Source organism: Homo sapiens, chromosome 15 (assembly GCF_000001405.40).
Source record: "Homo sapiens chromosome 15, GRCh38.p14 Primary Assembly".
In the NCBI taxonomy this organism is placed as follows: Eukaryota; Metazoa; Chordata; class Mammalia; order Primates; family Hominidae; genus Homo; species Homo sapiens.
Genome location: NC_000015.10, coordinates 101,416,848 through 101,430,387, shown reverse-complemented (window position 1 = coordinate 101,430,387; position 13,540 = coordinate 101,416,848). Strand labels below are relative to the sequence as shown.

General features: G+C 45.0%; 1 protein-coding gene across 7 annotated transcripts in view, besides 1 other annotated feature; it reads left to right on the top strand.

The window, feature by feature from the left end:
• Positions 1-13,540, top strand: part of PCSK6 (proprotein convertase subtilisin/kexin type 6) — a 185,775-nt gene that overhangs the window by 59,320 nt on the left and 112,915 nt on the right. For all 7 annotated transcript variants that reach the window (NM_001291309.2, NM_138319.4, NM_002570.5 and 4 more), the window contains exons 5-6: positions 325-401; positions 2,408-2,496. In NM_001291309.2, coding sequence (NP_001278238.1) covers positions 325-401; positions 2,408-2,496 — 166 coding nt within the window. The remainder of the gene's footprint in view (positions 1-324; positions 402-2,407; positions 2,497-13,540) is intronic.
• Positions 3,479-4,069: an enhancer, noted in NCBI's record as "H3K4me1 hESC enhancer chr15:101966524-101967114 (GRCh37/hg19 assembly coordinates)". NCBI's record gives its function as "activates a minimal SCP1, AML or CMV promoter by ChIP-STARR-seq in naive H9 embryonic stem cells {active_cell/tissue: H9 hESC(naive)}" and the evidence as "EXISTENCE:reporter gene assay evidence [ECO:0000049][PMID:30033119]".

Here is a 13,540-nt window from a genome sequence, read left to right as displayed (position 1 = left end):
GCCAGGGCCTGGGAGAGGGGAGTGGGGAGTTAGTGTTGAGTGGGTGTGGGGTTTTGCAGGTTGAAAGGGTTCTGGAGATGGGTAGCAGCGATGGCCTCAAGCACTGTGAATTAATGCCACTGAGCCGCACACTCGAGAATGGTTAAGGTCGTGTATTTCCCGTCACATATATTTTACCACGATAAAAACGTATATGAGATTATAGCTATAGTAAGAGAGGAGCCCCGCGTGTGGTTTCTCTATTTGCCAACGGAACATAAAATCCATTTCAAACAGAGCTGTCACATGCCATTTCTCCTCACTCACCACGATTCCATTTCTTAGGATTCCTACGCCAGCTACGACGTGAACGGCAATGATTATGACCCATCTCCACGATATGATGCCAGCAATGAAAATAAGTACGTCACCTCGCCTCATCTCCCCGGCTTCTCTTCCCCTCCCTGCAGCGTCACTATTGAATGTGTGTGCGAGGGAGCTGGAGAGGCGGTGGCTGCCGGCGTATCTTCCCTGCCTGGGCGCGAGGCAGGCTTCTCCAGGAGTCACAGGCCATGCCAGGCACAGCCCTTCAGGCACGGCCAGCTTCTGTGGAGTCAGCCTGTTCCTCTGGGGTGTCACCGCTGCCGGGCAGCTAGAAATGGGTGTTTGACAGACATCGTTCCTGTTTCCAACTTTCTTGAAATATTTTAAAAGAGAAACCCTTAAGTCTAACCGTCTCCATGACCTGCTGTGTGAAGACAGCAGTTTGGTCTGTTTGAGCACACAGGTCACGTGCCTGAGCTTTTGTGACTCTGTGACCTTAGGAATGAGGTGGAAGGGGCATGAGTAATGCTGGATAGACCCAGGTTCAGATCGCAGCTCTCCCACTTACTGGCTGCGTGCATGCCGGGTGAGCTGGTTGAAACTTCATGTCTTAGTGTCTTAGAGGCTCGTCCAGGCCAGTGATGTCCCCTACCTCACAGGGTCACAGGAGGGGTCAGTGAGATGATGCATGAGGAATGCACCCAGCAGATTCTTCCGAAATGGTGGGCGTTTTTGTGTCACTGTCATTTTGCAAGTGGAGGCAGTGGGGTCCGGAGAGCCCAGGTGACTTTGCAGTGTAAACGGCAGCCCTGGGGTCAGTCCTGGGAATTCATTTGCTGTCTCTTTCCTTCTCCATCAGCATGCCCCATACCCTGAGCTCTTATCATTCCTCTAAAAATATTTAGAGGGAAATAATAAAAGCTTTTTCTTCCTCCCCACTGTTGACAAGACTCTTGCTGAGGGGCGTCTCCCGATTATAGTCTTTTAGTTTGTGGTCGCTTTGATTCTGAGATTCACAAACGGGTGCGCAGGCAATGCTGTGCAGGAAGCCTCGGCCACTGGAGTTCCACACAGCAGGCTGCAGAGCTCCCGCGAGCCTGCAGCAGCCCAGCCTCATGCACGTCCCAAGGTGCCCTTCCTGCTGCCAGTGAGGATGCCTGGGGCAAAGGAGGAATGACCCACATACCACGCAGTGACCCTTGAAGGGCAGGATTCAATCCCATCCCGAGCCATCCATTGAGCTCTGTGACCCCGGGAACAGCCCTGGCCTTGAAGCTGTGTGGCTTCCAGGGAAGGACAGATGACTCTCTTCCAGAGGGCTGCTGCCTGGGGCGATTTTTAAAGGCAGCTTTAAATTTGAATCAATGATTCCCATCCTCTGTGGACTCTTCTCAAAGATGTGCTATTTCAAGTTGCTCCTATTTTGGCCCCCGCTGGAGGAACTGACCCGACGTGGCACATCAGAGAATGGGGTCATTACTGAGGAAAACGCATTTGTTTTTCTGGTCATTTCTTCATAGTCTCCCAGCTGCTGAGTGTTTAATTTAGAGCGTTCTTCCTCAGCTCCAGCTTAAATGGCCTTAGAAGCACAGGAAGGGCTGCCTCAGGGTAAGCATGGTGTTGTAGGTGCATAGGGGATGAGGCAGGTGACATCAGCACCAGACTGTTCCTTCTTTCATCCTGCCAGGCAGCAGGTGTCCCTGCTGCCAGCCACAGGAGACACGAGGCCGAGGTGGCGCAGCACCCACCCTACACAGCAGTGGCCATGTGCCAATTACACGTGCTGGGAGGAGGAAGGTATAGGACCACGGGCACTGGGGCAGGCACCTTCCTCCCACATGGGGGTCAGGGGAGGCATGCTGGAAGAGGTGACCATGCGTGAGCACTTGCCACATTCAGGATGCCAGGAAGGGCTGTACCCAGGCTGACTTGGTGCCTTCTCCCAGAGTGGGGTTGGTGATGAGAGGGGATGCAGGAAATGGGCTTTAATGACATCTCTGGGCTTCGGACAACTGACTCTCTTGTTGCATTGAACTGAGCCAGGCACTGAATTCACTGAAACTTGCTGGGCTGCGTCCTCACTTGGTTTTTTCCTTTGTTTCAGACACGGCACTCGTTGTGCGGGAGAAGTTGCTGCTTCAGCAAACAATTCCTACTGCATCGTGGGCATAGCGTACAATGCCAAAATAGGAGGTAAGGCCGGGCGTGGCAGCCTGCGAGCCGAGGGGCCTGGGGCAGGGGCAGCTGGGAGCTCCCTGTCCGCTGGTCTCAGCAGCCTCCTGTTTTTTGGCTTTGGCCATGTCAGCAGACCCCTGGGCCAGACGCAGCAGTGCCGTCTGTATCATGGCCCAGGCAGCTGACCCACAGGGATTGGGGCCTCAAGACAGAGGAACTGCTTACTGTTTTGCCTGAAAAGCCATTGCAGTTCCCATCAGAAAGGTACCCTCTCTCCTCTGGTCCTGCTGGCCTGGCTGCTGACTCCTAGAAGTCTGCGTTGATTCCCCGCTGCCCATAGCCCTCAGTGGCTCCGTCACTTCCCAGACAGAGTGACAGCTTTTACCCGGGACCAGAGCTTTCCCTGGGTTCTGACTCCCACTCAAGCCTGCTGGCCCACTTCTCCTGCCCCTGCTCTGACCTTAGAGGACATTTTTCATAGTGCCCCTTAGACACATCTGGTCTTCCCGATTGATGCCTGGGCTTGAACCATTCCCATCCCCGCCTCCCCCGTCTTTCCACTTGGCTCTGTCCACCTGTGCCTTATGGCAGCCTCATGCCTGCTCTGTTCTGTGAAGTGCTCCCTGGATCCAGCTGTCCCCCGTCTCATTCACCAGGGAATCAGCTCTTCTTGGTCCCTTTACGGAGCAGCAGCCGCCCCTGCCCCGCGTGCGTCTGGTCTTGCCATTTAGCTTCTCACACTGCTCAGTCAAGCTGCCCTTGCTAGGATGAGGCTTTGGAGTAAAGTATTGAATGTCTTCCTATTCCCCACGGGAGCCCGGCAGTGTGACAGCTCAGTCACCCAAGTGCTCTGAAGGCCCCTCTAGGTGCATGTCACTGACCCGGGAACTGAGCAAGTGGGGGCAGCAGAGAGGAGTGCCAGAGGGCCTCCAGGGACTGCGGCCTCACCCAGGAGGCCTGTCTGCTTCTCAGTCCGAAGGTGCTCCTGCTCACTCAGGTGGCTGCAGTGGGAAACCACCTTCCCGGGGGGGCACTGCCATCCTGCCACTGAGCCTTGGTGAGGGTGCCTGCAGCCGCTTTCTGCCGTTCTGCCACCGAGCCTTGGTGAGGGTGGCTGCAGCCACTTTCTGCCGTTCTGCCACCGAGCCTTGGTGAGGGTGGCTGCAGCCGCTTTGGCTCCACTTATGAGCAGTACCAGGCAGGGAGGTTGGGCCACGGTTCCCTGGATCACCAGTCCTTGGGGGAATTTCTTGTGTTTCGAAAAGAGGGTCCTTAGCTTTTACTTAATTAGGACTCTGCCTGCCTTTTCCCGTGGAAATCTTGAAGGTGGCTTGGATTTTCATTTTATAGCAGAATTAACCCCCAAGGGCGCGTTCTGCAGAACAAATCAGGAGACTCTGTCAACTGGCCTGGCTCCTTTGTGGATAGTTCTTGCAAACTGAGATATATAAGTTCTCCCTGGAGCCTTTGATGATGGGTGCAGAGCCCTGAGACGTCTCTCCAGGATCTGTAGAATCGGGCCAACCTGGGTGCCAGTTCCATTCCCACCACTCACTGTCTGTGTGTCCTTGAACAACTTACATAACCTCTCTGAGCCAAGGTTTCTTTACCTGTGGGGTGAAATGACCACCAGGCAGCTGCCTCCCCAGTTTTGTTATGAGGATGAAGTCAGATACCATGTGTGAAACCATCGGCTTGGGCTAAGTCTGCAGGGGATAGCTGAGCTCCTCCTTCCCTCTTGCTGAGACTCTCAGTGGGAGAATAAAAACCATTTGTGTTGCTTTGAGTGAGGGGTGGACCCCACCTTTGGAGTTGCTTGAGCCTTGCTCCCCCAAGTCCCTAGACTTTGAGCATGGCATCCTCTGGGAGCCGTTAGAAATGCAGAATCCCCACCCCAGGCCTACGGAGTCAGGGTTTGCATTATAACAAGATCGCAGGGGATTTGTCTCCACGTCACAATGTGAGAAGCGCTGGTTTAGAGGACTCCCTGGGGTCTCACAGGTAGGTAACACCTGCATCATGGATTGCGGGGAGGAGTCAGTGGAAGTAACATGCATAAAGATCCTCCCAGATGAGGTGCACAGTAAATACAGCATTACCGTTAGATAGCTCTACACTCATCGCCAAACTCTTTCCCTACGTTTCCCGAGTCCTGCAAGTGAAGGTGCTCCCTCCAGATCTGGAAAATGTAGGGATAGAATTTGGCATGTGTTTAAAACAAGAATAATAGCAATGCACTGTGGGTTTATAACGTATGAAGCAATATATATATATATGTATATAAACAACAGCAGGAATGGTAACAGTCATGGTGAATGGAAACGCTCTATCTTAGATTTATACATTATACAGAAAATAGTATACTATTAATTCCAGATAGACTGGGATAAGTTAGGATATGCATTATAGTCTCTTGAGTGACAACTAACAATAAAGACATGAAAAGGAAGAGCTCTATGGTCAGCTCCAGGGACATCCCAGGGAAATTCCCTGTTGTGTGCCAGCACACACAGAGAGGGAGCTGTGTTAGAGCACCTCACCCAGAGGTGGGCTTGGAGGGAGAACCAGGAGGAAGCGGGTTGGCTGCCTGTGTGGAGAGGCTAAAGCTGTTTGCAGCAGCTTTGGAGCCAGTGGCTATCACTGGATCCTTGGGTCAAGGCCAGCCTCAACCCCACACCTACCTTCCAGAGAGGTGTGAGCTCCACCTCATGTCCTCGATCTTTATGTGGCCTGCTCACCCCAGCCCCACGCCGCAGACGTAATTGTCTCCTCAGCACTCTCACGGGTAGTCAAGTCCTGCCGTGTCAAGCTCAGCCACACCCTCATGCCCTGCTCTCATGGGGTGCCTGCTCTGCCACCCCTGGGGCTCCTACCTGCCCCTTTAACTTCAATAGGTGGTTCTGTGCCATCTTCCTTGTTGGTTCCCTCCAAAGACATGCTGAGCTCCTAGAGGCCCAGAACTGTGACCCTCATCTCTTTCGTCTCTCTGTCAGCGGCATATCCAGTATTATACATGCAGCATGTGCTCAACCATATTCAATGCGTTAATTAAAAAATATCCCTGTTATCATGCATATCCCAACTTATCCCAGTCTATCTGGAATTAATAGTGTACTTTCTATATAATGTGTAAATCTAAGATTGTTTCCATTCACCATCACTGTCATTGTTTGTGCTGTTGTTTTTATAGATTCTACTTCACATGTTATAAACCCACAGTGCATTTCTTGTTTTAAACATGTAGTTGACCGCAAACTACTTATGACAAGAAATACATTTACCTGCCTGTGTACCATTCCACTGACTGGTCTTCCTTACTTTTTCTAGCTTCAGATTTCCATCTTTCCATTTATCTTCAGCCTGTCGCCAGGCTCTTTGGTATTTATTGAGGTTATCTCTCACCTCTTTTGGTATTTGTTGAGGTTCAGGTATGCTAGTGAAAAATTCTCTCCAATTTTATCTGAAAGTGGCTTCTCTTCATTTTTCTTAAAAGAAATTATGCTGAACACGACCTTCTAACTTTTTTTTTGTCTTTCAACACTTTAAAGGTGTTATTCTGTTGTCTTCTGGTATCCATTGTTTCCGACGATGAGTCGATTGTTAATTGCCATCCTTATTGTTGTTCCCTTTTAAGAAACGTGATTTGTTCCTATGGCTCCTTTTTTTTTTTTTGAAGAGATGGGGTCTTGCTCTGTCACCCAGGTTGGAGTGCAGTGGCATAATCATAGCTCACTGCAGCCTTAAACTCCTGGCCTCAAGTGATCCTCCCACCCGAGCCTCCCAAGTATCTGGGACTGCAGGTGAACACAACCTTTCCCAGCTAATTAAAAAAAACACACACCTTTTTCCTTGTAGGATGAGATACTGCTGTGTTGCCCAGGCTGGACTCAAACTCCTGGCCTCAAGCGATCCTCCCACCTCAGCCTCCCAAAGTGCTGGGATTACAGGCATGAGCCACCATGGCCCTTCCCTGTAGCTGCTTTCATAATGTTATTTTTAAAAATATCTGTGCTTTGCCTGTGGCTCTAACATTCTTTTATGTAGTTTTCTTCGTATTAATTCCATCTTGGGTTTTCTGTGCTTCTTAGTGGGTTATTCTTTTTAAAGAAAATTTGGAAAAAAAATTGTCAATATTTCTTCAAATTTTTTTAAGTTCCATTTTCTTTCTACTCTCTGTGGGCACAGTTATAGTTGTTAGATTGCTTAATACGCCTCACAGGTTACTGAGGCACTGTTCATTTTTTTAACCCTTTTTTCTCTGCTTCGAATGGAATGATTTTTATTGAACTTCAAGTTAACTAATCCTTCCTTTTGTTGTGTTCAGTCTGGTCTTTAAAAAAAATTTCAGGGCTGGGCATGGTGGCTCACACCTGTAATCTCAGCAGTTTGGGTGGCTGAGGTGAGTGGATCACCTGAGATCAGGAGTTCAAGACCAGACTGGCCAACATGCTAAAACCCCGTCTCTACTAAAAATACAAAAAATCAGCCAGGTGTGGTGGCACATGCCTGTAATCCCAGCTACTCAGGAGGCTGAGGCAAGAGAATTGGCTTAGACCTGGGAGGCGGAGGTTGCAGTGAGCTGAGATCATACCACTGCATTCCAGCCTGGGTGACAGAGCAAGACTCCATCTCAAAAAAAAAAAAAAAAAATTCAGATATTTACTTTTCTGTCTTATGATTTCCATTTGACTCTTTTTTTACTGTTTCCGAATCCCTCATGTGTCTCCATCTCTTCAGTCATGATATCTATCTTTTATTCTAGACTCTTTAACATGTTTGTAAGAAATACTTTAAAGTCTTTTGCACTTAATTCCAACATCTAGGCCATTTTAGGAGTATGTTTATAATGACTGATTTTTCTCTTTACAGTGGGTCATGTATTTCTCTTTCTTTGCATATGTCTAGTAATTTTTTATTGTATGGTAGATATTGTTACATTGTAGAGACTCTGGATTCTGTTGTCTTTGAATATCATTAAGTTTCTTTCTTGGCCAGGCGCGGTGGCTCACGCCTGTAATCCCAGCACTGTGGGAGGCTGAGGCGGGTGGATCCCGAGATCAGGAGATTGAGACCATCCTGGCTAACACAGTGAAACCCCATCTCTACTAAAAATGCAAAAAATTAGCCGGGCGCGGTGGCGGGCGCCTGCAGTCCCAGCTACTTGGGAGGCTGAGGCAGGAGAATGGCGTGAACCCGGGAGGCAGAGCTTGCAGTGAGCTGAGATCGCGCCAACTGCACTCCAGCCTGGGCGACAGAGCGAGACTCCGTCTCAAAAAAAAAAAAAAAGTTTCGTTCTAGCAGTTGGTTAAATGTGAGCTTGTGGAGACCTGATTATTCTTTTTTTTAATGTTTGCTATCTTTCTGATTTTCGCATAGCCTTAGGGAAAATCCATTAGCCCTAGCATATGGTCTTTACTCCTAGACCATGACCCTTTTGGTATTTCAGTGGAAAGCCTGAAATGTTTAAACCCAGACCTCTAACTTAGCAAGTCTGAAACTCCAGATGGACTGCCCTGTAGTGGGCAGCAGCTGAAATACCTGCTCAGCTCCTCCAGCCTCTCAGCTGCTGTTTTCCTACTGGACTTCTTAGTGGGTTGCCCATGTATACTTCAGGGTTCAGCCAAGTGGTTGTGAGGAGTTTATATGTTCTCTTCTGTAGATCTCTCCTTTCTGAAATTTCTCCTCTCAATTTCCAGCAGCTCTGACAGTCCCAACTCTATCCCCTGACTCCTCTGGAGAATAAGATGACATTTTACTGTACTTCAGTATTTGAGTTCTAGCCTCTCTGCACCAAAAGAAATGGAAAGTTCCCTCAAGAGGAAAAGTCATGTCAACTTGGAGCATACCCAGTATGGTTTGTCAAGAATTGAACCCCCTGCCTACCTCTGCCCTTTTCTGGTTGTTCTTCAGTGGTCTTAAAAAGTTAATTTTTTCTAAGTAAATATTTTTTCAGAGTTTATAATTATTATCTTTAATAAGAAGAGTTAGTCTGATATAAGCAACTCTGTCATTGTTGAACTTAAAACTTGTGGTTTATAGTTATCAATTAGATTGTGTATTAGTTATCTATTGCTGAGTGGCAGTCATTCTAAAAATGCAGCTGCTTAAAACAACAAACACTTGTTTTCCAGCACAGATAGTGGCTTTGCTGAATGTTTCTGATTCAGGGTCACTGGTGAAGTTCCAGTCAAGCTGTTGGCTGTGATTGTAGTCTGAAGACTTGACTGAGTCTGGAGGATTCACTTCCAAGATGGGTTACTTATGGGGCTGTTGGCTGGAGTCCCTGATTCCTCACTGTGTGTACCTTTCCAGAGGGTTGCTTGAGTGTCCCCATAACATGGTAGCTGGCTTTCTTTATAACAAGTGATTCAAGAGAAAAAGCAAAACCAAACCAGCAATGTCTTTTATGACCTCATCTCAGAAGTCATGTACCATCTCTTCAGCCATACTCTGTGCATTAGAAATGGATCACTAAGTTTAACAATACACTCAAGGGGAAAGAAATTTGGTCGCACCTTTTGAGTAGAAAGGTGTCAAAAAACCTGTGGACATAGTTTAACCAATTTTCTTTGTAAAACTGCACATTCCTTATAAATGTTGTCACATAAAAATAATTAAATCAACTGAAAGAAACAGGAACTGTCCAAATTATATCTTAAGAAATAGCCAGGCGTGGTGGCTCATGCCTGTAATCCCAGCACTTTGAGAGGCGGAGGTGAGCAGATCACCTGAGGTCAGGAGTTCCCGAACAGCCTGCCAACATGGTGAAACCCTGTCTCTACTAAAAATATAAAAATCAGCTGGATGTGGTGGTAGGGGCCTGTAGTCCCAGCTACTTGGGAGGCTGAGGCAGGAGAATTGCTTGAACCTGTAAGGTGGAGGTTTCAGTGAGCCAAGATCGTGCCACTGCACTCCAGCCTGGGCAACAGAGCGAGACTCCATCTCAAAAATAATAAAAAAGAAACAAAACTCCTTCAACCCCCAGTTTCCCTAGGTGTGTTGCCTTCAGGTGCATTAGCACCTACCCTGGGGAGAAATTTTACACTGTCAGGAATCCACAGAGGCATGTGCCATCTTCATTGTTTCCAGAGAGGAGAGTGGGGTACCCCTGTGCGGTCACTGGTCCCTGATGTCTTTCATTTTAGAGAGACTTTAATTTTATATTAAGTTGTCAAGCTGTACATTGATGATTTGTGCCCCCTTTTCATATATAATTTTTTAATAAAAATCTGTTTAAAGTTTTTATGGGCTGGGCATAGTGGTTCACACTTGTAATCCCAGCACTTTGGGGGTTGAGGCAGGAAGACCTTTTGAGCCCAGAAATTTGAGACCAACCTGGTCAACATAGTGATACCCTGTCTCTACAAAAAATTTTGAAAAATTTAGCCGGGCATGGTGGCATGTGCTTGTAGTCCCAGCTACTTGGGAGGCTGAGGTGAGAGGACCACATAAGCCTAGGAGGTCGAGGCCGCAGTGAGCCATGATTGCGTCATTATACTCCAGCTGGGTGACAGAGTGAGACCCTGTCTCAAAAAAACAAAGTAAAGTTCTTATGATGTCACATTTGTTCATCTTCCTTCATGACTCTTGAGTTTGGGATCTTGCCCAAGATAGTAAACCTGTTTTGTATTTCCTCTAAAAACTTAGTTTTAGGACAATAATTGGTCTTAAAATTTTTATGGTTTTCTCTTTCCTGTTTAGCTTTTTTTTTTTTTTTTTGAGACAGAATCTCACTCTGTCACCCAGGCTGGAGTGCAGTAGCATGATCTCAGCTCACTGCAACCTCCACCTCCTGGGTTCAAGCAATTCTCCTGCCTCAGCCTCCCGAGTACCTGGGATTACAGGTGCCCACCACCATGCCTGGCTAATTTTTTTGTATTTTTTATGTAAAGACGGTGTTTCACTATGTTGGCCAGGCTGATCTCGGACTCCTGACCTCAGGTGATCCACCTGCCTCAGCTGCCCAAAGTACTGGGATTACAGGTGTGAGCCACTACAACCAGCCTTTCTGTTCAGCTTTTTGATCCATATGGAATTTATTTCTGTGAGTAGTGTGAAAGAGAGATCCCCCCAAATCAATATTTGGTGATTGCCACACGTGGCCCTCATCACATCCTAGATCCCCATATGGACACTGGGTCTGCCCTTACGTTTCCTTAGTCAGTTCCTTCATAAGCCCTAACAATACCACGCTTTGAATTATTACAGTCAGTTTAGGAGAGTTTTGGGGTTTTGTTTTTGTTTTTTTGGTAACTGATAGGGCAAATTTTCTCTTATGGTTCCTTTTCAAAAATTACTTGGCTATTCTTGCACATTTTCTCTTTCAGATGAACTTGAGAATCTGCTTGTCAAGTTCCATTAAAAAAAAAAAAGCCCTGTTGGGATTTTGATTGGGATTGCTTGGAAATTATAGATTAATTGGGGGAGAATGACATCTTTACAATATTGAGTCTTCCCACCCAGGAGCATGGTATGTTTTTATTTATTCAGGTCTTCTTTTACATTGTTTTTTAAAGTTTTATCACTTTCTCCATATCGATTTTATACATTTCTTATTAGATATATATCTAGATTTTTTAAAAATTTGTATTTCTAATTGGTCATTATTGAAACGGATATAGGAAAGCTATTGATTTTTGTATGTTGGGTTTTGTTTCTGGTCACCTTATTGATCTCTGTGGGTGCTGTTGTTTTTCCGTTGGATTCTCTTGGCTTTTCTGGAGAGATGTTAAATAATAGCTATCTGTAAATATAATGGTGGTTTTATCTCTTTAATATTAATAACTCTCTTTTTCTTGCCTTATTTGAATATGTAGCAGTTCCTGATGAATATTGAATAGTGGTGGTTTATAGGTTCTGTTTGATTTCTGACTTATACAGGAATACTTCTAATTTTATGCCATTTGTAAATGTCTTCCCTGTAGTTACCCTTTATCAAGTTGAGAAAATTTTATTATATTCCTAGATTTCTAAGAGATTTAATCAGGAATGGATGTTGAATATTTAAAAGTATCTATTGAGATTATTATATTGTTTTTCAACTTTATTGTTTAATCTGTGTAGTGTAATAAGTTACATTAATAGATTTCCTAAACTGGGCTAGGCACAGTGGCTCACGCCTGTAATCCCAGCACTTTGGGAGGTCAAAGTGGGTGGATCACCTGATGTCGGGAGCTCGAGACCGGCCTGGCCAAAATGTTGAAACCCTGTTTGTACTAAAAATACAAAAATTAGCTGGGCATGGTGGCAGGCACCTGTAATCCCAGCTACTCGGGAGGCTGAGGCAGGAGAATCGCTTGAACCTGGGAGACAAAGGCTGCAGTGAGTCGAGATGACACCACTGCACTGCAGCCCTGTAAGACTTTGCCTCAAAAAAAAAAAAAAAAAAATCCTAAATTGGAAACTTTTTCTTTCATTTTTGAAATAAGTTCCATTTGCTCATGAGTATTGTTGTTTTGATACATCTGCATTCAACTGCTGATGTCTTCTTATGGTTTTACAACTTCATTTATAAAATGGATAGAATCACAGTTTCTGTGTTTTGTGATGTTTCTCTCTAACTTGTTTATCAGAGTCAGGCCAGTCTCGTAGAAAGAGTTAGGAAACTTTCTTTTCCTGTGCTCTGAAATAGTTAATATATTGTGGATAGTGCCTGATTTCTGAAGTGTTGGTAGAGCTGATTAACTAGTCTGATTGGATATGGTGACTTTCAAAAGGACTAGACCTATTCAGGTTTTCTGTTTCTTCTTGAGGAGATTTTTGTAATTAAATCTTCCTAGAAAATCATCAATTTTTCAAGATTTTCAAATATATGACATAAATTCAATATCATATGCTCGTAATTTAAAAGTACATCCTCCATGTTTATAGTTATAATTGTTTCTAATCTTATTTGTGACATCTCCTCTTTTTTCCTTGATTGATGAAAAATTTCTATTTTTAATAAAATAGGTTTTTTCACCTCAGTGTCATACAATATACCCATGTAATAAATTTGCACATATAACCCCTGAATCTAAAGTAAAAGTTAAAATTATAAAAAATAGTGTACGTAAAAATAAAAAAAAACAGGCTTTTGCAGAGAACTAGGTTTTTTTTAATTGAGTTCCTTTATTTTCTGCATCATAAATTTCTGCTTTTACTTATTTATTAATTCCTTCAGCTTTTAAATTTGTTGTTGCTGTGTTCTAATTCCTTGAATGGAATGTGTATTTAGTTCTTTATTTTCAGGATTTTATGTGTTCTAATAAATAAATAAATAATCATACATTCTCCTTTCATCACCTCTTACTAGTTTAATTATATGGTGCTTTTCTTGCTATATATTTCTGAATAATTGTACGTTTCAGCTTAGATTTTTCTCTTTAACCCAGGAGTTATTTAGAAGAGATTTATAAAATTTTTCAACTGCGTAGATTTTCTGATGCTCCTTTTGTTGTTAATTTTTAAGTTTCTTATATTGGGTTCACAGAATGTTCTGTATATTTTCTGCCTTTTGGAATTTCTGGAGAATATCTTTGTGTCCTAATACACGTTCAGTTTTTGTGAATATGCCAATGGGTGTTTGCATTAGTCCGTTTTCACACTGCTGATAAAGACATACCCAAGACTGGGAACAAAAAGAAATTTAATTGAACTTATAGTTCCACATGGCTGGGGAGGCGTCAGAATCATGGTGGGAGGTGAAAGGCACTTCTTAACATGGCGGTGGCAAGAGAAAAATGAGGAGGAAGCAAAAGCAGAAACCCCTGATAAACCCATCAGATCTCATAAGACTTATTCACTATCACGAGAATAGCACAGGATATAATATAATATAGTAGCTTTTCCAGGCACATGGTACAAGCTGCCAGTGGATCTACTATTCTGGGGTCTGGAGGATGGTGGCCCTCTTCTCACAGGTCCACTAGGCAGTACCCCAGTAGGGACTCTTTGTGGGGGTTCTGACCCCACAATTCCCTTCTGCACTGCCCTAGCAGAGGTTCTTCATGAGGGCCCCACCCCTGCAGCAAAGTTCTGCCTGGGCATCCAGGTGTTTCCCTACAGCTTCTGAAATCTAGGT